The sequence below is a fragment of the Homo sapiens genome, chromosome 6 (genome assembly GCF_000001405.40).
Source record: "Homo sapiens chromosome 6, GRCh38.p14 Primary Assembly".
In the NCBI taxonomy this organism is placed as follows: domain Eukaryota; kingdom Metazoa; phylum Chordata; class Mammalia; order Primates; family Hominidae; genus Homo; species Homo sapiens.
In genome coordinates, this window is record NC_000006.12 from 74,664,267 (window position 1) to 74,690,739 (window position 26,473).

At 35.8% G+C, this 26,473-nt stretch overlaps 2 long non-coding RNA genes across 2 annotated transcripts in view; one reads left to right on the forward strand and one right to left on the reverse strand.

Annotated features, from left to right (window-relative positions):
- The window catches only part of LOC101928516 (uncharacterized), a 621,277-nt gene extending 594,816 nt beyond the window's left edge, over positions 1-26,461 (forward strand). Inside the window, exons 3-4 of the long non-coding RNA NR_110856.1 lie at positions 9,798-9,882; positions 26,071-26,461. This is a non-coding gene — a long non-coding RNA (uncharacterized LOC101928516). The remainder of the gene's footprint in view (positions 1-9,797; positions 9,883-26,070) is intronic.
- Positions 1-26,473, reverse strand: part of LOC105377858 (uncharacterized) — a 140,187-nt gene that overhangs the window by 70,088 nt on the left and 43,626 nt on the right. The window lies entirely within an intron of this gene.

The window sequence follows — 26,473 nt, forward strand, 5'->3', positions numbered from 1 at the left end:
CTCCTTAAGCTGATAAGCAACTTCAGCAAAGTCTCAGGATACAAAATCAATGTGCAAAAAGCACCAGCATTCTTATACACCAATAACAGACAAACAGAGAGCCAAATCATGAGTGAACTCCCATTCACAATTGCTTCAAAGAGAATAAAATACCTAGGAATCCAACTTACAAGGGATGTGAAGGACCTCTTCAAGGAGAACTACAAACCACTGCTCAATGAAATAAAAGAGGATACAAACAAATGGAAGAACATTCCATGCTCATGGGTAGGAAGAATCAATATGGTGAAAATGGCCATACTGCCCAAGGTAATTTATAGCTTCACTGCCATCACCATCAAGCTACCAATGACTTTCTTTATAGAATTGGAAAAAACTACTTTAAAGTTCATATGGAACCAAAAAAGAGCCTGCATCGGCAAGTCAATCCTAAGCCAAAAGAACAAAGCTGGAAGCATCATGCTACCTGACTTCAAACTATACTACAAGGCTACAGTAACCAAAACAGCATGGTACTGGTACCAAAACAGAGATATAGATCAATGGAACAGAACAGAGCCCTCAGATATAATACCACACATCTACAACCATCTGATCTTTGACAAACCTGATAAAAACAAGAAATGGGGAAAGGATTCCCTATTTAAGAAATTGTGCTGGGAAAACTGGCTAGCCATATGTAGAAAGCTGAAACTGGATCCCTTCCTTACACCTTACACAAAAATTAATTCAAGATGGATTAAAGACTTACATGTTACACCTAAAACCATAAAAACCCTAGAAGAAAACCTAGGCAATACCATTCAGGACATAGGCATGGGCAAGGACTTCATGTCTAAAACACCAAAAGCGATGGCAACAAAAGCCAAAATTGACAAATGGGATCTAATTAAACTAAAGAGCTTCTGCACAGCAAAGGAAACTACCATCAGAGTGAACAGGCAACCTACAAAATGGGAGAAAATTTTTGCAACCTACTCATCTGACAAAGCGCTAATATCCAGAATCTACAATGAACTCAAACAAATTTACAAGAAAAAACAAACAACCCCATCAACAAGTGGGCAAAGGATATGAACAGACACTTCTCAAAAGAAGACATTTATGCAGCCAAAAAACACATGAAAAAATGCTCATCATCACTGGCCATCAGAGAAATGCAAATCAAAACCACAATGAGATACCATCTCACACCAGTTAGTATGGCAGTCATTAAAAAGTCAGGAAACAACAGGTGCTGGAGAGGATGTGGAGAAATAGGAACACTTTTACACTGTTGGTGGGACTGTAAACTAGTTCAACCATTGTGGATGTCAGTGTGGCGATTCCTCAGGGATCTAGAACTAGAAATACCATTTGACCCAGCCATCCCATTACTGGGTATATACCCAAAGGACTATAAATCATGCTGCTATAAAGACACATGCACACGCATGTTTATTGTGGCACTCTTCACAATAGCAAAGACTTGGAACCAACCCAAATGTCCAACAATGATAGACTGGATTAAGAAAATGTGGCACATATACACCATGGAATACTATGCAGCCATAAAAAATGATGAGTTCATGTCCTTTGTAGGGACATGGATGAAGCTGGAAACCATCATTCTCTGAAACTATGGCAAGGACAAAAAACCAAACATCACATGTTCTCACTCATAGGTGGGAATTGAACAATGAGAACACATGGACACAGGAAGGGGAACATCACACACTGGGGACTGTTGTGGGGTGGGGGGAGGGGGGAGGGATAGCACTAGGAGATATACCTAATGCTAAATGACGAGTTAATGGGTGCAGCACACTAACATGGCACATGTATACATATGTAACAAACCTGCACATTGTGCACATGTACCCTGAAACTTAAAATATAATAATAATAATAATAAATGAACTACAAAAATATTTATTATTTCTTGATGGGTCAGGAATTCAGGTTCAGTGAGGCATTTTGTTTTTCTGCACTGTGTGTAGGGTCACTCAGCCAGGAGCACTGCTGAGCTAGAATCTCCAAGAGGGCCTTTCATCCTTTATGGTTCTACATGTGGCCCCTATGCATTCAGTAGTCTACTTTTTCTAAGCATGGAAGCTGGGCTTTAAGAACGAGGAAGCAGAAGTTACCAATTCCTTAAGGCCGAGGGTTGAAATCCCAAAATGTCACTACTGTATTCTATTGGTCAAAGCAACACACAAAGCCAGGATTCAAGAGAAGGAAATAGATTCAGCCTGTTGATATGAGAAACCATATACGAATATCGGGATAAGAGTAACTGTTGGTAGATGTAATTGAAAACCATCTATAACAGATAGTTAAATATTAGTATCATGCCTCTACTGCCACATATACCATCTTACCTGTATCTGTGCCCGTATGTCCACCCTCCCTCATGTTACTACTGATGGATGGTCCCATACCTAACAAAGTTCAACACCTTCCACTTTTATATTAGAGTTCATTCAACTTTCACCTACTCAAGGTCATTGGTTCCTATTTTTTCTTCTTTTCCTTGCATTATGAATTTTTCCTCTCCACTATGTAACCCCATTTGGCAAACATATTTTAATTTCTCTCCACTTAAAAAACAACCAACCAAACAAAAATTTGTCTCCTGAATCCATATCTCCCTCCAGACACTTTCATTTCTTTGTTACCGTTGATTGCAAAACTTCTCAAAATTATTTATGTGTACTATCTTCAATTCCTTTAATCCATCCTTTTTTGATCCCACTCCAATCAAGTTCTTGCTAAAATCCTTTCACTAAAACAGCCCTTCACTCTGTCACCATGTCCTCCAATCCTCAATCCAAAATACAATTCTCTGTTGTCATCTTTCTTGATCTATCAGGAGCATTTGGCTCAACTGATCTCTCCCTCCAGCTTGAAACACTTTTGTCCCCCTCTTGGCTTCCAGGACAATGCACTCCTGATTTTCCTCTTTTCACTGGCTGCTCCTTTTTAGTCTCCTTTGTTGATTTCTCCCCATTTCCTCAGTCTTTACTCACATCTTGCAACTTTAAATACCATCTATATTCTGAAAACTTGAACACTTATACACTTATATCTTCAACCCAGACCTCTTTCCCAAACTCTAGACTAAATCACATGCCACCCACTCCCCCTACTCCACCCAGCCTGACATCTCTACTTGGATATCTAATCAGAATCTCAAGCAAACATGTCCAAAAGTGAACTGCTAATCTTGTCCCCAAATGATCGTCCCACAGACTTCCCATCTCAGTAAATGACATCTTTCCAGTTGCTCTAGCCAAAAATTTAGAATAATCTTAGGCTCTCTCTTTCTCTCAAAATCCTCATTGAATTTCTTCTCACATCCCATTTACTCTTTATTTGAAATGCATTCATAATTTGAATACAACTTACTACCATCTTTCTTACCTGCATTACTCTAAGTAGAATCTACTCTTACTTCCTCATGGTCTATTCTCACTATAGTAGAGAGAGGATTTTTTTTTTTTTTTTTTTTTTTTTTTGAGACGGAGTCTTGCTCTGTCGCCCAGGCTGGAGTGCAGTGGCGCGATCTCTGCTCACTGCAAGCTCCGCCTCCCGGGTTCACGCCATTCTCCTGCCTCAGCCTCCCGAGTAGCTGGGACTACAGGTGCCTGCCACCACGCCCGGCTAATTTTTTGTATTTTTTTTTTTCTTTTTAGCAGAGATGGGGTTTCACCGTGTTAGCCAGGATGGTCTCGATCTCCTGACCTCGTGATCTGCCCGCCTCGGCCTCCCAAAGTGCTGGGATTACAGGCATGAACCACTGCGTCTGGCCCAGGGACTTTTTTTTTAAATGTTAAGTAAGATGATCTCACTCCTCTGTTTAAAACTCTTCAGCGATGACCTGTTTCACTCAGAATAGGAGTAATAACATACACATAGGCACTCCATAAATAGGTATGAAATAGTAAATTCTCATTTTCTTTTTTGTTTTAAAATATAGTTAATTCTATATGCCCATTGAAATGTATTTTATATTATGATGAGATGTGAGATTTAAACATATTTTTCTTATAAATTACTAATTATTTCTCTCAACAATAGCCTTGGGTGAAGCTAAACTGTGATGTTTCTTTTGTTCTGTCATAATACCGCTTAGTATTAGATTCTGTCTTTCCGTCTTACTGCGTCATGCTTTTAAAGTTATTTTTTAAAAAGAAAATCATTATGTTTTAACAAAGGATAGAGCTAGTCATCCCATTTTCTTTTTATTCACAACTTTCTCATTCTTCCCAGTTGATTTTTGTATATGCATGCCAACTCACTCACATACTACATCCTGGTCACACCAATGATAAGAAGTAGAGTCTCTTTCATACTTTTATGTCTAGACTCTTTTCTAGGTACTATTTCTACTTAGATTTGCTACTAGAATTTTGGGATTTCTGGCATGATGTTTGAGACGTGATATATACAGGTAAAATCTTCCTTTCTTTAATGCTGAGGACTGAAATGTCAGATTTTTTTTTTTATTTTTTCAGATTTTTGAGTATCTGTATTAGGTTTAACGTCCCAAACCTAAAAATCCAGAATCCAAAATGCTCCAAAGAGTATTCATTTTGAGTACTATGTTGGTGATCAAAATTTTAGGATTTTGGAGCATTTCAGATTTTGTAGATTCAATCTGTATCTCCTTCCCTCTAATTGGCCACCAATTCTGTCTGCTTTCCTCTTGTTGAACCTTGTTTCATCACACTTTCTAATTCTATTTGATTTTCTGCCTTTGGTGTCTGTCCCTCCTGAGGTGAGGCTTCCCCCTATTTTAACAACATCTGCACACTCCTTACTCCATACTCCACAACTTAACAATGATACCAGCCTCTGAACATATTTTTTTAATGGGAGTAAATTTGGGCTTTTGAAATTTATTTTACAGTTTTTTCCTTCATTTTTTGCCTAAAATGTTTCATTGCAAGTTTGTCAGTGTTATCTTATAATTTGGGGAAAATTATTGACATCTTTTAAAATAAGAACATTTTATTTCTTGTCAAATTTTCTTATACTCTGTTGGTATTTTCTCTAAATTGGTTACATGTTTCTTATTAGAGGCAAACGTGGATGTTTGTAAATTAATTGCTATTGCGAATTAGAGTTATTTTTCATCGCATTTATAAGTGATATTTGCGATGATATGCTTTGTGCCTTGGAAACTTTTCTGGGAAAATTTATTTGGTATTTTGACATCTTTTATAATTCTTCATTATGAAAGAATTTTTAAACTAGTTTTCATAATGTAATATATGTCATAATTTTGTCTTTTGCTGTATTTATATGCTTTGTTTATTTTGGCTATTTAAGAACCTTTGTATAACAAAGACTTGTAGAACAAAGAATTTTATAAACTGATATAAATGCTTATTAAAATTTAAAATGTATTTTTAATACCGTGTTCTAAAATTGTATATGTTGTGTGTGTATGTTAATGATATGATTTGGTTGTGTCCCCATCCAAATATATTGAATTATAATTCCCATAATCCCCACATGTCATGGGAAGGACCTGATGGGAGGTAATTGAACCATGGGAGTTGTTACCTTCATGCTGTTCTTGTGATAGTGAGTGAGTTCTCACAAGATCTGATGGTTTCGTAAGGGGCTTTTCCCCCTTTTGTTTGGCACTTCTCCTTCCTGCCTTGATATGAAGAAGGACATGTTTGCTTCCCCTTCTGCCATGATTGTAAGTTTCCTGAGGCTTCCTCAGCCCTGCAGAACTGTGAGTCAATTAAACTTTTTTCCTTATAAATTACCCAATCTTGGGTATTTCTTCATAGCAGCATGAGAATATCTGCCTATCTAAAGCATAGGACATACATACACTAACCATGTTATTTCCTTACTTCCCCTAAACATCACAATGCATTCCGTGAACTAGAAATTAATGTATTCCTTGAAATATAAATTAATACATTCCTTGAATTAGAAAATGTAAAAAGTAATTAATGGGAACAGGACTTGGTATAATGACTATTTTTCACCATTAGTGTTTTATTTTGTTCTATCACTGTGTCAAGGCATACACTTGGAAATTGGACAAGTATACCTTTATTATAGATCACCTGGCTCCGTCCTTAGAATGAGAGAAGCTTCAAGAAGAAGGTTCGTTTGAGAAAGCCTGAAAGAGGTGGAACTAGCATGAATATGTTCCTCTGAAACTGAGAAATGTATAATCTTATTGCACTCAAAATGAAAGCAATAAAGCTTGGTAGCAAAATAATAGCCAGACTCACAGGTTTAGACTTTATCTTTTAACCCAAGACTATTGGAGAAAGGTTAATGCTAATGAAGATAATCTCATAAGCAGAACACTCAGAATAGAGATGGGGAGACTTAGAGAGCAAGCCCACTAGGAATACACTGGATTTCCTCATTAAACTCTTAATATAATTCTATGAACATGGTATGCTAAGTACAGGAACAGGTTGAAAAAAGAATCAGTAAAGATGCTTGCCCAGGAAAGATCCCTGGCTGGGGCACACACACACATACACAAACACATACATGTATACAAATGTATCTTGGTAATTCTGTTTGTGCTAGGCTAGAGAAGTATTCCTTTAGCATTCGACATGTGCTGATGGAGCCAGATACCAAAAAACTTACAGAGTGGGAGGTTACAGCTCTGAGATGTAAGATTTGCCAAGGAAAATCCAAATACAGATCAAATATTTTTTTCTTAAGTAACACTTTTAATAGTCTATTTTTTGTATTATAGGATTATAATATTTTTTGTATTATAAAATTGTAAGATATTAAAAAATAGCTATTAACCTGAAAGTAAGGTTGATTATAAAACACATTGCTTCCTCATAACCACTGATATTAAAATAATCAATTGACACACTGGCATTCATATTATATCAAGTTAAACATATGCAGAGTCTACCCCCTTTCCTCAGTTCTGCCAATGTCACTAAGTTGGCTTTCTCCAAAGTCTACATAACGTCACAAACTGAGATTGAGACATTGGTCAGCCTTCCTTCGAATGAGACATTGGTCAGCCTTCCTTCAAGTACTTAGTGCAAAAATGTTTATTTTACATCTTTAAGTACAACTTTGATTTTGGGAAGACAAATGGAGAATTTTGGGGCGGGTTCTGTGTAAAGAAAAATATTTTTAAAACACACTTCATTTTAAGATTTTTAAGGAAAGCTATCCAAAAATTATAGCATAATGATAAGCTAACACATTGTTTTGTCTAAATAAATCCATGTGCTGGAGCGCTGATTCTAGGATATCTTCCAAAGCTATAGACCTTTGGTGTTTCCCTTGGTGCACACATGTGCATCTGCTGTGCCAGCGTGCTGTACTGCTTTGACTCAAATGTCCTCCATATCCAGGCATTAAGTCACTATACTGGACATGCACCACTGGAATGCTGTGGCCTACATAACGTGTATGTGGTTTACATTGTCAGTAACTGGGAAGCAATTTAATTGTCTGACTCAATTACAGTAAGTGAGAGCCAGACTGCCAACTCTTCATTCACCTCACTGAAAACGAATGCCTCAAAGTCAAGCCAAATTCTCGAAGGAGAAGCTGGGTCAGCAAAGCTGTTGCTGAGGCACGTGTGTTCCAGTCTGTATTTTGAGAAAGTTGTTGGTTTTCCTTGATCCTTTATTTCCAGCTCTGGATGTCCGAAGCTGGTCAAACTCTAGGATAAACAGTGCAATTGAGTTTGACTCATAGCTGAATGGGGATTCTATTTTGGGCAACTGCTACTTAGATTAAAGCCAAAAGAAATAGTACCCAGTAGGAGGAACCATAATGAAACTGGGTTTTGATTAAGATGCAAAGTGTACATTTTCCAAGCAGCACTGATATACTAGAATTCCACTGTGGTCTTAATCTCTGGTACAGAGGATTAGCTTGGACTCTTGGGACTGGACTCTTGGGAATAGACTACTTCATGTCTTCTATGGTTAACTGCCTGAAGATTAGTTTGCCAAGTGACTCCATCTTTGACATGCCAAAACTGGCTTCTGACAAGAAGGTTGGGGTATGCCTCATCACAGAGCTGACATGTATCAAGAAACAGCCCAAGTGTCCATGAGAAACAACTCTTCCAACTCTGTTTCTAATGAGCTAAGGGAATCTGTACAAATCTCTTTGGGACTTGCCAAGCAGTAGGCGTTAGATTTTGTCATCCCTTCTTTGGAACCTATGTAAAAGATAATCAGTAAGGGTGGTGATCAAGGCTGCCATTCCCTGTGATAAGTCCCAGAGAAATGCAGAAAAAATTCTAGTAAGAAAAGGAAAGCTGTAGTGAGAGATCTCTTTGTTTAATCTATCAACTCTGAAAGCAAGTAATTCTTCAATATTTATAGTAACTATGAGAAATCATACAAATTAATAGGCAGGTAAACCACTGACATATTTTAAAAGTTCTAATGATTATGATAGAAAATTGTTCTTCTTTTGCTCACAAACTGAATTTATTCAGTTAAAGGAGGACTCAGAGTGGGGCAGAAGAGAAGGCCAGGAGAGAAAATTCTGACCTGAGACCAGTGCTATTTTGTTTTCATTTTTACTTGTATTTTATTTGGTAAAATACAAATAACATGAAATTTATCATCTTAACCTTTTTTAAAGTGTGCAGTTGAGTAGTGTTAAGTACATTCACATTGTTATGCAGGCACTCTCCAGAACTCTTTATTTTGGAAAACTAAACTTTTTATCCATTAAACAACTCCCTGCTGTTTTGTTTTCAAATATTTTAGAAATCATTATGCTTATGAGTACAGAACAGATAATTTCTATTTTTTAACCCACTAAGATACCAACAGGTACTGTGGAAGGCTTTTTGCTTACTACCTGCTCAATTTATTTGAGGGAGTTAAAACACTTCCAAAATGTAAGTCCAACTAGTTCATTTTTTGTTTCTATTTTATCAGTGTCTTTAGGATGATATGGCTATGTTTGAAAGATTGATGGATCAGGAATTATTATTTCAGTTCCAGGACAGTTTGTTTTTTAAAAAATACAATATAAAGATGATGTAATGACATGAGATAAACTCTTTAACTGATTATGGCATTATACATCACCATTAAACGATTAAAAAACATGCTATTTTATAAAGATAATGTTAATCAACAGTGGCTGGCTCTTTCAAAGTCTTCACTTGCTTTCCACACAGTACATTTTAAAAATAGTATCTCACAATTTTCTAATAATTAATAGTTAAAAAATTTTCTTTTGGAAATCTTATAACTTGAAAGACGTTCTTTTAAAAAATGGTCCACATAGTTGTTGGGGCTGGTAAGGATAGGGAACTGTGGTAGAGGATAGTGGCCCTGGCATCAGATCTAAATAGATTTGGGCCTAGGCTCTGCCACTTTGTAACTGTTGGTTATATCTTTCCTTTTCTACTCAGTTTATCTATGAAATGAAAAAAAATAATGCAATAATGCATGTAAAGTTCAGCATAGTGCATGACACATAGGAAACAGTTAATATAAGTCACTGATTATTAAAATAAGAAAAATGGGTACATACATACACACAGTGTCCTTTATTCCATTTACCAATGTCCGAGATTGAAGTATTTCTTTAAAATATGATGCAAAGACCTCCAGTATCTTTGTTCTTAGACACAGTCTAGAAAATACTTGGCAGGTAAAATGTAGAACCACCTATGGTTCCTAGTTTCCTAGTTCCCAGAAGACCCCATTCTCCTCACTGCTGAGGGCTAATATTCTAAATACAAATACTATCAGCTTCATCTTACTCTATTTTATTAATTATTTCTCTTCTATTTCCTTCCTCTCTCTTCTCCTCTCTAGAAAGAAGACTGACTGAGATGTGTTGGCGGGCTTCTCAAGATCCCTATCGATGGCAGAATGCTGACATGAGTTGCCCATAGTCCAGGTACACTGAGTAGGACTGCAAAATCAGTGCTAACAGCTGCCGATCATTCTTCATCATAATGTTAAGATGAAAATGTTTTTGGAGGAATATACTTTAAATTCTGGGTGGTAACAATATCTTTTAAAAAGATTATTTGTGTATTTTTAATATTTTGGCAACAAATATGTCACTTTTATAACCAGAAATAGTAAACATTTAAAGAAAAGAAAGAAATTGACAGTATGATTAAGAGAGTGTTCATCCAGGGCAGGAACACTTTCTGTTCCCTTTCTGCTGTTTCCACCACAATTTTTAAGAATCTTGACTACATGGAGATGTAGATGACTTGGACATCTGGATTATGCATTTTATTATTCTTGTCATTCCTCATGACATTTCTGACAACTTCCCTTAGGCATAAAAAAAACTCTATGAAGTACATTGGCACATGACATATATATACATACACTCTTGTCATTCCTCATGACATTTCTGACAACTTCCCTTAGGCATAAAAAACTCTATGAAGTATATTGGCACATGACATATATATACATACATATACACATACATACATATGTATGTATATGATTGTTCAAATATATATATTTATATTTATATTTCCTTCCTGGAGTTTCTACATGTAAATTAAATTGAAAATGTGTAAATTATTTCCTTTATTTTTCTGCTTTTTGGCCTGAGAGGTTTTCTCACACATTTACTTTTTCCTTCTATTCATATGACGTTTGAGAATGTTGAGTGCTTAAGCTTGTATCTTATCTTCTATAGAAGCCTTTGGTATATCAGATAAATTTCTCTTGTTCATATGGGGTATATTTCAGTGGAATGACCCATTGATGTATACAGTTAAAAAAAGTAAACATAGTGGCACTAAAAGCATTTTCTGAAAACAAGTTGAAAATGAAATTGATAATATATTTTAAAATTTACTTAGAAGAGCAATATCTCTGGTACATGGACATATTTTTCTTGCTTGGAATTTTTCAAAATTTCTGTATATCTATTTTAAGAAATTATAACAGAACATTTACAACTTCCTTAGTGAGAAAAAAGGTAACTTCATATACCACTTGTTCCATATGCCCCTGTTATGTCAAAATCTCTAACATTTTATTTTTTTGATCCAGTCAGCTATGTCAGGAAACACATCAGTTCACGACACAGGAACAATCCTGGAGTCTATTTACTTATACTGCTTTTAATTGTTTTTTTTTTTTCCTTTGTGAGTCAAGGACATCAGTTTCAACAAGCCTGGTGTATCAGTAAGCATGTGGACCACCTAATCACATAGACTGATAGAAAGCAGCATAATATATTATGGGCCAGGAGCTTCAGCTTCCTGGATCACTTCTTCCCCAGAAATTCCTTACAAGAAACCTGCTCTGCCAGACTAGGTCGAAGTTATTACCACAAAACTTGGTGGACTCCCTCTTCTCATGTGGCAAATTTATCTCAAAATCATTTTTTTAGAAAAAAATGAATAGCCTTACTCATAAATATGAGTAACAAATATCATACTCAATTTCTAAAAATTTTGAAAAGAAATTAAACAGAATGGAGGAGATTTGCAATAGGAAAACTTTGATGAGTAGCTCTTGAAATAAGTGGGAAAGAGTCTGCTCTATTTACAGAGACTTTCCAAGTCCACAGAGGCACATATTGAATATATTATGGGCCATTTTCTCCTCCTTTAATACGTAAGATGCTTTTTTTTCCTGGATTCTCTTAATTTTTAATGTACTGATTGTTCATACTTTGGCTGCCTAGTGCATAAAAAATAAGCCTCATCATGATGATTTTTCAGAGAACTTCTCTAATCTTACCTGTATATGGCATGTGTCATTGTATTGATCGTCTCTGATGTGAACAGACAGGACAGCACTTTCAAACTCTATTTGGCAAATCTCCAGAAGTGAGTGATGAGTTCTTAGGAAAATGCAAAATTAATTAAAATAATGACATTTATTGGGTATTTAGACTTTCATATATGTGTGTATATGTATATGTATGTTACAGTATTTAGCATATTAAAACGCTGTGATGATTTTATTACATTTTATTATTTATACAGCATAGCAATATATAATTATTCTCTCCTCTATGTTAGCTTGTTGTACCGTGATGATTTTTTTACCATATTAGATTGTATTATAACACTTCTTTACGTGAACTGAGATTATCTCTAATGCAATGACTGGGTCTTACTCTTCCTTGGCTTTGGAGTGCTTTGCGTGATTATTGGCACATAGTAGACAGCCAACACACACTAGTTCGGTGAGTGAAAAACAGATAGATGGTTAAATGGATGGTGGGCAGTCATAAGCATATATTCAATACTATAATATTGTCTGTAAAACAAATGTAAGAGATTTTACTAGATTTTTCCTATAGAGCTCATTAGAATTAAGCATGATGTAAATAGAATGATGAAGTAATACTATATAACAGAGTTTCTCATCAGTGGCAATGTGAACAATTTGGATGAGATAATTCTTCATTGCGTGTGCTATCCTGTGAATTGTAGGATATATATCAGCGGATCCGGCCACTACCCAGTAGATGCCAATAGCTATCCTACTCGCTCCAGCTCTGAAAACCAGAAATGATTCCAGACATTGCCAGCTATCTGTGAGGCAGGGAGGGAAAAAATCCCCTTCAATGAAGAACCTCTGTATATAGTGTCTGATTTCAGGATAGTATTACACATTTGTATTACATTTTTCCTTTTCCAAAATGTAAGTACATAATTGGGCAGGGAAATAAAGGGAAAAGTAATGACATTTTCTGCCCAGATTGGGCAAAATGGAAAGCAATCTTTGTCTTCCAGAAAAATGGTTTCAAGAAATGTTATTTATTCTTGTAAGCTGCATATTTTCAGGCTGTAAAGTAAAAATAAATCTCTGGATGCTAAAATCCTAGTGGTTAAAATACATGGGCTCTCCATGTGGATTCCTCCTACAACGTATAAATTCCCACCTCTGTTGGAAGAACCCTACAGTGCCTTCTTGCATGTTTTATGTTTGGCTTCTATTTTAGAACTGATCTGGCAATTTTCCTAATTAAATATACCCATCATCCAAATTCTGCAGGATTTGTCTCTATTTTGTTTCCTTCTACAGGCTGGACAAAATCTGAGTCCTGAACTCCTTAGTTTGTACATAAAATTTAATTAAATCTAATAATCATTTTACTGACATGTTTCCAAAATACTCACATCAAAAAAAATTTCCTCACTAAAGAGTCAGATAAGATAAATTCTATGTAATAAGTGAAGAATAAGGAAATGGAAACCTAGAGAATTAGGAAACTGTGAGCATATTACTGACAGAACTAGAAGTAAATCTAGTATCTTCAGTCCCAATTCCAAATTCTGAACTTGAACTTACATATATGTAAGAATGGCCTTGCGAGCTTGTTAAAAAATGCACATTTTATGCAGCATATGCAGATCATCTGCTTCTGTGGGTGTCTGTCCAATAATTTCCTTTCTTTACAATATTTATTTATTTATTTATTTATTTATTTATTTATTTATTTATTTTTAGTATCTTGAGTGCCCAAGGTTGCCATCATTATACTAGTCTGGTCATGGTCCACCTTTTACAGGACTGTTCTGATTATTTAGTTTTTTCCCTTTTCTCCAATTTCCACTCTTCCCTCCCTTTTCCTACCATGCACATCTACCTTAATATGTTTAATGCATATTCTTAGATATCTGTGCATCTTTGTAAAATCTATAGGTTGTTTTGACTGTACCTGTGTTTTTAATTTTCAAAAATGGTATTTAAAAATACCACAGATCACTTTACGGCTTTATTTTTTTTATCAGCACTACATTATTAATATTTATTCACATTGCTATGTACATTCAGTTCTTTTGAAGGTATAGTTTTTACATAGCATACACTCAACACATTGCCTTGTTCATTTCCTTGAAATGGACACCTGAATTATTTCCATGTCCCAGTTGCCATACTCAAGGTAATGTTGAATGCCATCAAATTCCTTGATTGGCTTGTGAGAAAGTTTCTCTTCTGAAGACTTGTTTCACTGGGTTATAAGAAAATATATAACAAAATTTTACACATTACATTCAGAATGCTGGCAGGGAAGGATATATTCATGAACGCCGCTACGGTGATACACTTCAGCTCTCATCCCCGACCCCACATATTCTCACCAATATTTTGCACTATCTTACCTCAATCTTTGCCAATACCACTAGTATTAAATGCATCTTTTGCCTGTATTTTTAGTATAAACTGTATCATCCTGTGATAATTCTAATATTGGGCATCTTTCCTTATTTTTCTTGGACATTTGTATTCTCTATTCTGGTAACCGCCTGTTGTTTTCTCAGTTTTATGTTGTTTTGTTTATTTTCATGTTTATTTCTTATATCTATTAAATCAAATATCTCTGTCAGTTTTAGACATTGTGAATGATTTCTGACAGATTGTTAGCAGGCTGTTAATATTTTTGTGAAAAAACTCAATTTTAATAATATCACCTCTATTGATTAATTCATACCTCTAATCTATTTGGTATTTAGCTTTGTGGATATTGTAATGTAGAGATTCAACTATATTTTTTTCTCTTTCAAGTTTGCTGATTTGTGGTGCCCTCTGTATGATAAAGTTCCTATATATATCCATAATCCTATTTCTGGGTCATATTCGGTTCCATTGATCTATTGATATGATCCTCTACCGTTACCACAATGACTTATTTTCTTGCTCTTTCTTACTTGTCTTTCTTGTCTGTCCTTCCTTCCTCTTCTTTCTCTTCTGTTTTTCTTTCTCACTTTCTTTCTTTTCTCCTCTATTCCCCTCTTCTTCCTTCCTGTTAAAATTTTCATCACTGTTCTTTTAAAAAATTCAATCACCATAGTTTTGTAGCATATCTATTATAACTTGTCAGTCAGTGTTCTCTAGAGAAACAGAACCAATAAGAAAGGCAGGTAGATAGATAGATAAATAGATAGGTGATAGATACATACATACCTACATACATAGATTGATCTTAGAGAGAAAAAAAGAGAGTTTTTTAACCCTTTTCCCATTTAGAAAAACAAAGTGCAGCTTGCTGCCAGCATTTATTCTACATAAACAAACACACTTTTTGAGGATGAAGCAAATTTGACTGATTTTCAATGTAAAAATAAAATAAAAACAGTTCTTGGAGTTATTTCTAAACAGCACTAACATCAGAATCATCTGAATCATCAGGATCATCTATTTCAGAAACATCAGATTCATCAAATGAATCCTCGCTGTTCAAGAACGATGTTAACATCATGAATAGGAATTCCACATTTTCTAGGATTTGACATTTTCAGCAATCGAGAATTACTATATTTTGTAAATGGAAATACCACTACTAAAACCAGAATGCTATAAATAGAATGATGTCTTTTGTTTCCAAAGTTGACATACTAGAGCAATGCAAAAATAATAATAAAAGCAAGATATTTCATGGCAAAATTATCTCGGGGTAACCACTGCAGCAAAAGTGCTGTGTTCTCAGGGCAAATGGGCAAAGGATTAAGGAATTGGCTCATGTGAGTGTGAAGAATCAAAACTCTGAAATCATTAGGACAGGCCAGCTGACTATAAACTCAGACAGGATTTCTATGTTACAATCTTGAGGCGGAATTCTCTATTCTTTGGAAAACCTTAGTGTTTGCTCTCAAAACCTTCAAGTTACTCAGTGAGACTCCCCTATATTATCAGGAGTAATCTCACTTACTTCAGGTCAACCAATGGCAGCTATTAGTTATATCTACAAGATACTCTCACAGCAATATCTAGACTACTGTTTTTTTGTTTTGTTTTGTTTTTGTTTTTTGTTTGTTTGTTTGTTTTTTGAGATGGAGTCTTGTTCTGTTGCCCAGGCTGGAGTGCAGTGGCAAGATCTCAGCTCATTGCTACCTCTGACTCCCGGGTTCATGCCATTCTCCAGCCTCAGCCTCCCAAGTAGCTGGGACTACAGGTGCATGCCACCACACCCCACTAATTTTTTTGTATTGTTAGTAGAGATGGGGTTTCACCATGTTAGCCAGGATGGTCTTGATCTCCTGACCTCGTGATCTGCCCACCTTGGTCTCCCAAAGTGCTGAGATTACAGGCATGAGCCACCATGCCCAGTCTAGACTAGTGTTTTATCAGACAACTGGGCATCATAGCCTAGACAAGTAAGTAAATAAAATTAACCATCATGGTGTTGGAAAAACTGTATGCAGAAGAATTAAACTGGGCCCCCACATTTCACCATATAGAAAAATTAACTCAAAATGGATTAAAGACTTAAATGTAAGACCTCAAACTATAAAAAATCTAGAAGAAAACCAAGGAAATACTCTTCTAGTCATTGGCCTTGGCAAAGAATTTATGATGAAGACCCCAAAAGCAAATGCAACAAAATAAAAAATAGACAAATGGAACTTAAACTAAACAGCTTCTGCACAGCAAAATAAACTATCAACAGAGTAAACCACCAGCCTACAGAATGGGAGAAAATACTTGCAAACTATGTATCTGACAAAGCATTAATATTTAGATTCTGTAAAGATTCTAATATTTAGATTTTATAAAGAATTCAAACAAATCAACAAGAAAAATAACCTCATTAAAAAGTGAGCAAAAGACAGACATTTCTCAAAAGAAGATATACAAACAGCCAATAAACATTTGAATAAAATGTTCAACATTACTAATCATCAAAGAGATGCAAATCAATGAGATGCAAAACACTGAGATACTATCTCACATCAGTCACAATGGCTATTATTAAAAGTCAAAAACAACAGATGCTGCTGAGGCTGTGGAGAAAAGGGGAAACACTTATACACTGTTGGTGGGAATACAAATTAGTTCAGCCCCTGTGGAAAGCAGTTTGGAGATTTCTCAAAGAACTAAAAATAGAACTACCATTTGACCCAGCAATCCCATTACTTAGAATATACTCAAAGGAACATAAATTGTTCTAACAAAAAGACACATGCAGCACTATTCACAATAGAAAAGACATGGAATCCCAACTGCTTGTCAATGGTGGATTGGATGAAGAAAATGAAGTATATCCCTATGGAATACTACACAGCCATAGAAAAGAACAAAATCATGTTCTTTGCAGTAACATAGATGTAGCTGGAGCCTGTTAGACTAAACGAATTAATGCAGAAACTGAAAACCAAATGTTACATGTTCTCACTTTTAAGTGGGAACTGAATCTTTGCTCATGTAGACATAAAGATGAGAAAAATAGACACAGGGGATTTCATAAGGAGGAAGGGAAGGAAGAGTACAATGACTGAAAAGCTTCCTATTGGGTACTATTGTTCACTATCTAGGTTATAGGATCAATAGAAGCCCAAACCTTAACATCATACAATATAGCTTTGTAACAAATCTCTACATGTACCCTTTGAATGTAAAACATAAATGGAAATTTTAAAAATAAAAAAATAAAAATCATGATCTAACTTAAAAATTTCACCATTATTATCATGGGGGTTCATCTACATTTGCACTTTTTTTCCAAAATTATTTAAGCTCTTGGATTTGAGGAAATTTCTTAAAAATTTGTGCTGAAGTAAGAATTGGAATTGCAATGATTCACTAGTTAAATTGGCAAGAATTAACATCTTGATAATATTAAGTCATCCAACCATAATCATAGTATGTTTTCTTTTTTTATTTTTATTTTATTATTATTATTATACTTTAAGTTTTAGGGTACATGTGCACAATGTGCAGGTTAGTTACATATGTATACAAGGACTTCATGTCTAAAACACCAAAAGCAATGGCAACAAAAGACAAAATTGACAAATGGGATCTAATTCAACTAAAGAGCTTCTGCACAGCAAAAGAAACTACCATCGGAGTGAACAGGCAACCTACAAAATGGGAGAAAATTTTCGCAACCTTCTCATCTGACAAAGGGCTAATATCCAGAATCTACAATGAACTCAAACAAATTTACAAGAAAAAAACAAACAACCCCATCAAAAAGTGGGCGAAGGACATGAACAGACACTTCTCAAAAGAAGACATTTATGCAGCCAACAGACACATGAAAAAATGCTCACCATCACTGGCCATCAGAGAAATGCAAATCAAAACCACAGTGAGATACCATCTCACACCAGTTAGAATGGCGATCATTAAAAAGTCAGGAAACAACAGGTGCTGGAGAGGATGTGGAGAAATAGGAACACTTTTACACTGTTGGTGGGACTGTAAACTAGTTCCACCATTGTGGAAATCAGTGTGGCGATTCCTCAGGGATCTAGAACTAGAAATACCATTTGACCCAGCCATCCCATTACTGGGTATATACCCAAAGGACTATAAATCATGCTGCTATAAAGACACATGCACATGCATGTTTATTGTGGCACTATTCACAATAGCAAAGACTTGGAACCAACCCAAATGTCCAACAATGATAGACTGGATTAAGAAAATGTGGCACATATACACCATGGAATACTATGCAGCCATAAAAAATGATGAGTTCATGTCCTTTGTAGGGACATGGATGAAATTGGAAATCATCATTCTCAGAAAACTATCACAAGGACAAAAAACCAAACACCGCATATTCTCACTCATTGGTGGGAATTGAACAATGAGAACACATGGACACAGGAAGGGGAACATCACACTCTGGGGACTGTGGTGGGGTGGGGGGAGTTGGGGAGGGATAGCATTGGGAGATATACCTAATGCTAGATGACGAGTTAATGGGTGCAGCGCACCAGCATGGCACATGTATACATATGTAACTAACCTGCACATTGTGCACATGTACCCTAAAACTTAAAGCATAGTATGTTTTCTTTAGCTATTCAGATCTTTTTTAAAGTTGTTGTTCTTTGAAATAATTGAAAAGAAATAACTTTAAAGCCTCCTATAGTTAGTTGTTTTACAATAATATTCTTTAAATATATTAAAATCTTAATAAACCTTCAGGTACTTTCTCTATTACTCCTGCTAAGTACAGCTGAAAACTCTGTACATTATATATAAAACAAACATAAGAAGACGCTGAAAGGTAGAAAGAAGAAGGTAGACAGGCTGCAAACCTCAGAATTTAAGAAAGGACACAGCAGTGAGTTACCTGGATTGCCTTTTTAGCCCATATATTCTGAACTGAGTGTTAGAGAAACCAACAACTGTGAAACACCAACAGGCACAAACAAAAAAGAAGCACAAAGAAAAGCTTCTTCTCCCTAGCTCAAGAATCAGAAGACAGGAAGCCCAGAAAGACAGAAAACTTTTAGATAATAACCTCTTTATTTCAGCCAAACCTATTGAAAATACTATGTGGTGCCTCCACTAACAGCCAGCACAAGGCAGGTGCAGAGCCCAGACTTCTATCCATGCCAGGTGCCCCAACTTCCCACCTGGGGTAGTGTCAGAAGGTTGAGTAAGGAGTCTAGATTTTCATCCTCCTCAGGTGGTAACAAGGTCAACTTTCCCTTCCTTTCACTACAACGGTAATGTCAGTGGAGACCTGTGGAGAGTCGGGATTTTTACCACTGCCCAGAGGTAACCAGGCCATCTCTCCCAAAGAATCAGTGGAGGCCATGTGGGAAAAAGTAATGAGGCACCCCACCCTTCCCAGCCAGGTAGGCATCCGTGGTGAACTAGTGGGAAGTTAAAACTCCCATCCCTGTCAAGCGGTTATGAAAAGCCTGTCCCCTCCCATGGTGTCAAAAGATGCTGAGTGAAGAACATAAACTTCCACCCTCTTCTGGCAGTAAAAAGGCAGTGCCCCTTCCATAGAGTGCATGGTTCCAGAGGAGGTAAGAAATATTTAAGTAAGATTTGAAGTCTCATAACATAAAACCCCAAATGTTCAAATTCAAATATTACTTGTCTTGCTTACAATTTGATTAAAAGATAATTTCAACTTGAAAGAGGAAAGGCAGGCATACAATAGAATATTATTCAGTCTTAAAAAAAGAAGAAAATTCTGCAGTATGTGAGAAAGTGGGTTAATTCTTGAAGTCATTAAACTAAGCAAAATAAACCAGATACAAAAGAACAACTCCTATATGTTTCCACTTATATAAAGTACCTAAAATAGGCAAATTCATAGAATTAAATAGTGGAATGGTGATTTCCAGAGTCTAGTAGGGAGGGAGAAGTGGTAAGCTACTAATCAATGGGCACAAAATTTCAGTTAAACAAGATGAATAAATTCTAGTGATCTGCTGTACAACATTGTGCCTATAGTTAACAGTACTTTATTTCACATTTTAAAATTTGTTAAGAGGATGGATATCATGTTAAGTGTTCCTACAATTAAAAAAAAGACAATCAGCCCATAAACCCAGCATTGTTGGAGGCTGAGGTGGGAGGACTGCTTGAGCCTAGGAGTATGAGGCTGCAGTGAGCCATGATCATGCCACTATACTCCATCCTTGGTGACAGAGTGAGACCCTGTCTCAAACAATAAAAAATAAAAAAAGACAATCAGCAGATACAAATGCCAAGATGAAACAGATATTAAATGATCTGACAAGAATCTTAAAATAGTCATGACAAAAATGCTTCAAAGAAATTATGAACATGTTTGACACAAATCCAAAAAAAATCAGCAAAGAAACAGAAGACGTAAAGAATAACTAGGAAGTTGGGAACCCCGCACAGGTCTACTGCTAACTGGGATTCATTCCTGGCTCCCAATGACTCTTGCAGAGGGGATGAGTTGAACAGGCAAGGAACAACCCACTCTAGCCATGGGCCTCTGGAATCCCAGCAGGTGGAGACCTCTCTACCACCACAAACACCCGAGTTTTCAGGGAAAGCTGCTTAGAGAAGTGGTAGAGGCAGAACTCAAGTCAGTTCTCCAGCCAGGGCAATCACAGAGAGCTTGATGTGGGAGCATCTGTAGTGGTGCATGCCCAGGGACACCCATCCCGCTGGGCTCAACTTGCTCTCATAGGATACTTTAGCCATAAGGGAGCTGTCTGACCAAAACTTCAGGGTGGCTTTGCCCATGAGACCAGGCCAGTCCAACGAGCACACCTTAGTCTGCTGGCCTCTTCTGGGGTAGTGTCAGAAGGTTGAGTAAGGAGTCTAGATTTTCATTCTCATCCTGCTTAGACACATCTGCTTGCAGTGTAGCCCCAGATACTTCCTGGGGCTACATCCCAAATACTTCCTGGGGGGCTGCATCATAGCTCCTGTGCTGGCAAACCACATTTGACTATCTCACAGCAGTCAGAATGGCTATTATAAAGAAGTCAAAAAACAACAGATGCTGGTGAGGTTGCAGAGAAAAGGGAACATTTATACACTGTTGGTGGGAGTGTAAATTAGTTCAATCATTGTAGAAAGCAGTGTGGCGATTCCTCAAAAAGCTAAAAACAGAACTACCATTTGTTCTAGCAGTCCCATTACTGGGTATATACCCAAAAGAATATAACTCATTCTACTTTAAAGACACACGCACACATATGTTCATTGCAGCATTGTTCACAATAGCAAAAATATGGAATCAACCTAAATGTCCATCAGTGGTAGACTGGATAAGGAAAACATGGTACATATACACCATGGAATACTATGAAGCCATAAAAAGAAAAATATCCTGTCCTTTGCAGGAACGTGGATGAAACCAAAGGCCTTTATTCTTAACAAACTAATGCAAGAACAGAAAACCACATATTTTATGTTCTTATAAGTGGGATCTGAATTATGAGAATACATGGACACAAAGAAGGGAGCAACAGACACTGGGACTTACCAGAGGGTGGAAGATGAGAGAAGGGAGAAGAGCAGAAAAAATAACCATTGGGTTCCAGGTTTAGTGCCTCAGTGAAAATATGTATATCAAACCCCAGTGATATGAGTTTATCTATATAACAAACCTGCTTATGTACCCCTGAACCTAAAATTAAAGTTTTTAGAAAATAACTAAATAGAAATAAAAAATATAATAACCAAAATAAAATCTCAATAGATGAACCTAACTGCAGAATGGTGGAGGCAGAGGAATGGATTGGTGATCTTGAAGATAAAATAATAGAAATTACTCAACCTGAACAACAGAAGAAAGTGGACTGTTAAAAAAATAAACAAAGCCTTAGGGACCTGGAAGGCTATAACAATAGCTCTAAATTCATGTTAACAGAATTCTGGAGGAACAGGAGAAACACAGAGGAGCTGAAAAAGTATTTTTAAAAATAATGGTTGAAATGGTAGAAAATATGTAAATCTACCTGATTCAAGAAGCTGAGTAAGCCCCAAACAGGATACACCCAAGAAATCCATGCCAAAACACATCATAATGAAATTTCTAAAAACTAAAAACAAATATAAATCTTGAAGGCAGTAGGAAAAAAATCTTACCTATGGGGGAAAAACATTTTGAATGACAGCAGATTTCTCATCAAAAATTGTGGAGGTGAAAAGGAAGTGACACAATACTTTTCAAGTACTGGAAGAAAATAACTGTCAGCTTAAGATCCTATATCCACTGACATATCCTTCATTAATGAAGAGGAAATCAAGACATTCTCAGATGAAGAAAGACTACTGTAATTTTTCACTAGCAGACCTACTGTAATGAAATGGCTAAAGAAAATTTGCTAAACAAATTATAAAAGAATTTTAGAACATCAGAAAGCAAGAAAGAAAAATAGAAAAAGTAAGACTATAGGTAAATATAATAGACATTTCTTTTATTCTTGAGTTTTCTAAATTATATTTGACAGTTGAAGTAATAATTAAATCACCATCTGATCTTCTAAATGTATGTAGGGAAAATATTCAAAACATTCATATTATAAATAAGGGATGTTAAAGGAGTATAAAGGCAGGTAAGGTTGCTACACTTCAACTTAAAAAGTGTTGCAACAATTGACTGTGATAAATTGTATGTGAACAATGTGATGATGGTATGATACATATGATTCCACTTAGATTATGATCTTGAAATTACAAAATTATGGAGACAGAGAGCAAAATGTTGTTTACCAATTGTTAGGGATAGTTGCAGGAAAGGATGGGTGTGACTATAGAGGGATATAGAGAGGTATGTTACTGTTAGAATAATTTTTTACCTTAATAGTGATAGTGTTTACACAAATCTGCAAGCAATAAAATGGCATAGAACTATATACATATGTTGTACCAATGCTAATTTCTTGGTTTTTATACTGCGTTATTGCAGTATTAGATGTAATCATTACAGGAAACTGGATGAACTGAGGCACAGAACTTCTCTATAGTATCTTTACAACCCTCTGTGAATTTACAATCAGTTTCATATAATAAAATTTAAGCAAAATCTGCATCATCTGTCAACATAGTAATAAATTAACTAACTTTTGAAAATACGCTCAGAGTGAAGAGATTTAATATATTTTTTCCTTTTTCTGGGATTTAGGAGGTCTTACATTTCGGAAAGATGGAATCATCCCAGGAGACAGTATCACCGTGTAGAACTAGATTAGGCTGTAAGCTCAGTTATTCTATCATGCATTCAAATAAATAATGTAACTGCTTTTTGAAAAACATAATGCTAGGTGGGAAAGTCAAAGTCAAGTAAAACAAAGTCATCACTTCCTAGAGACCTGAAGCTTATCAGGGGAATACAGGCATGTAAGCAAATCAAGGCTCTAAAGTGCTATAGATTACGTAGCTCTTTGTACAGAATATATTGAGAGTTCAAGGGAGACGTAGCACTATCAAGGCTGCCTAAAGAGAGAATGCTTCTTGAAGGAGAGAATCTTCCACCTAAGAGTTGAAGGATGAATAGTTCTTCCGATAGAAAAGGATGAAAAACAGGGCAAAGAGGTCATATATAATTTCTCTTTGTAAATTTAGCACCTAAAACTGATGGCTGCTATTCAAAAGGTCCTCCATAAATATGTGAAACCCTGGGAAGTCAGGACTGTATGGAAGAAAGGGCGATGAATTCTAATCATGAAAGGTAGGAAAAAGAATAAATTCCTATTTTTTTCCCTGAGTAGTGCTTTACCAGGGGTGCCAAAATTTATTTCTCTTGTATAATGTGTGTCTAACTAGAGACAAACACTAAACAATAGAATTTTTTAAAATAATACAAATTTTCAATGTTTTTCTTTAAATTTTTAAACCAGAGCTTAGTGAATAATTTTAGTAAATTATTGGAATTAGTAAGTTCTAAAGTTTTATACCACTTTTTGTGTTTGTTTCTAAAAATGTTAACCATTATAAAATAGAACTGAACAAAGATTTCGATCTGCCTATTTGAAACTTTGTAATCAACAGAAAATATAAAAATAGATCTCAAATTCTTTAGGTAATATCTATGGAAACATATAAAAGTTCTTGTTATTGAGTTGTTAGTAAAATGACAATTATATAACTGTTCACTACTATGTGTGAATTTAAGACTTGGAGGCTAGCCCATACTCAATAGTTTATTAAAATTGAGGCAGAAAGTCAGAAGTGGAAAACTAGTTAAACGTGATCTTTAGATCTCCACAGGATAGATGAGTTAAATGGTTATATAAAACTCTTGTTTCTCAATAAGTAATGATGCCTCAGAAGACAGTGTTTTGTTTTCACTTCTCACAGTAACAGAATGATATTTTAGCAAACAAAAAAATCTTATTGGCATTTAAAGACACAATGGAAAAATATATGCAATTGGTGTTGGCAGAGTTGTGCATCCTATAACACATCATTTGCTGTTGTATTTGCCATGATCCCTGAAACTTCAAGTCAGGTGTTATATAGGCAAGCCAATGTTTAGAGCTAAATTTATATGATTTTTCCTCATGGTAGACAATGAGGTGTTTAAATTGGAAGTTATTCAGTTGTTATAATCCATTTAGATGGACAATAAGATAATTTATATTACAAGCCATAAAACAGGCTACTTCTGAATTTTTACTTTTATAGAGATATATATGTGAAATAACAAGAAAAAAATACAATGGTAACACATTCACTACTCAATAAAGATAGCATATAATACATGTAAAATACATATATGTGTATGTGTACATGACAAATGTGATATATATGTGTATGCATATGTAAATATTTATAATATAATATTATAACCAGGTGTCTTTCTTGAATGTGCTAATGAATATTTCCTAAATGCTGGGCACTCTACTCAGTATTGTATTTTTCCTCAAGAATTTTTATCCTCAAGAATCCTAAGAGATATATAATATTACTATCTTCATTTAATAGGAGAGACCACTGAAGCCTAGAAAGGTTAAGTGACTTGACCAAATTCACCCAGCTGGTAAGAGGTCAAGCCACAAAGCTAAGATAAAATGGCAAGTCTGACTTTAGAGGCCATATACGGAGACAGTAGGCTCCCCACACATTTCTATTGAAGCGAATGGCCTCTAAACATGGCAAAATGCATGGGAATATGTGTCTCTTAGGCTTGTTTAACTTAATTTTTTACAACCACAGTCAACATTTCTCAAAGGTTTCATTTAATTCACTACTGGGAATTTTTCAAAAGTCATTCCACAGCAATTTTCTAACATAGGAAAAAAACTGTGACATTTTCAAGGAATAGAAATTAAGCAGTCCATATGACCATGTTTCTCCTGGAAACATATTTTGGCTCAGTGCTGGACCATGCATCAGAGACTGGGCAGGCTCCAGCATATGTCCCAGAGCCACTTGATGATTGTTTTAGCAGAAGGTACCAACACTTTAACAGAGTTAAGCCAGGCACTTGTGCAAATGAGTTCTGGATCCTCCTCTGTGAACAGCTGATAGAAGACAGAATTCAAGTGTTCTCGTCTGGGAGAACTTCAAGGCATGTCATGGTGTTTTTAGTCACATGCTCACATTAACCTGCTTTACAGAATGATCGAACTAGAAGGTATCAGAGAGAATGTCTCACCTAACTCCCACGTTTGGCAGCCAGGACTGGAGAATAAAGTGATTGACCCAAAGCCGTGCAGATAATCAAAGGCAGAGTTAAGGGGAACTGAGATCTCCTGGCTCAAACAGTGATTCAGCCGCTCCTAACAACAGCTGAGAAGTGGTCTTTACATTTTAAGTATGAAACCTCCTAACTTCAGTGGCTGGAGTTTAAAGGGGAGTATTTTTGGTTCATGTTACTGAAACAGCCACAACAATATCAACAATAACTAGTTTTTCTCTTCATCTTTCACCAGTATTTTCTCTCTATTGACTCTATTCTCAGGTTTCCCAATGTAGCAGATGACTCTAGCGGCTCCAGCTTCAGCATCATCTTAAGTTCAAGTGAAAAGGAAAAGAGAATCTCTTTTTCTTCAAACAATTTCAAACTAAAATCTTGAGTCTGACTTTTCCTGGCCAGAATTAAGCTTGTACTTATCCCTGAAAAATCATCAATGCTACAGTGATGAATTTACCAATTGAGGCAGAATTTAGGTCACATGACGCTCCAAAGCCTCTTCAAAACCGCATGACTCAGAGTGAGGCAGAAGTATTTGGGATATTTGCAACAGGAGAAGGGTAAATGAATGGAGAGTGCCAAAACAACTTATGTCAATTATACAATTATAAATACAACCAAAATAAAGTATGGAAATCAGTATTTTCACCTATCTTAACAGAGTGAAAGA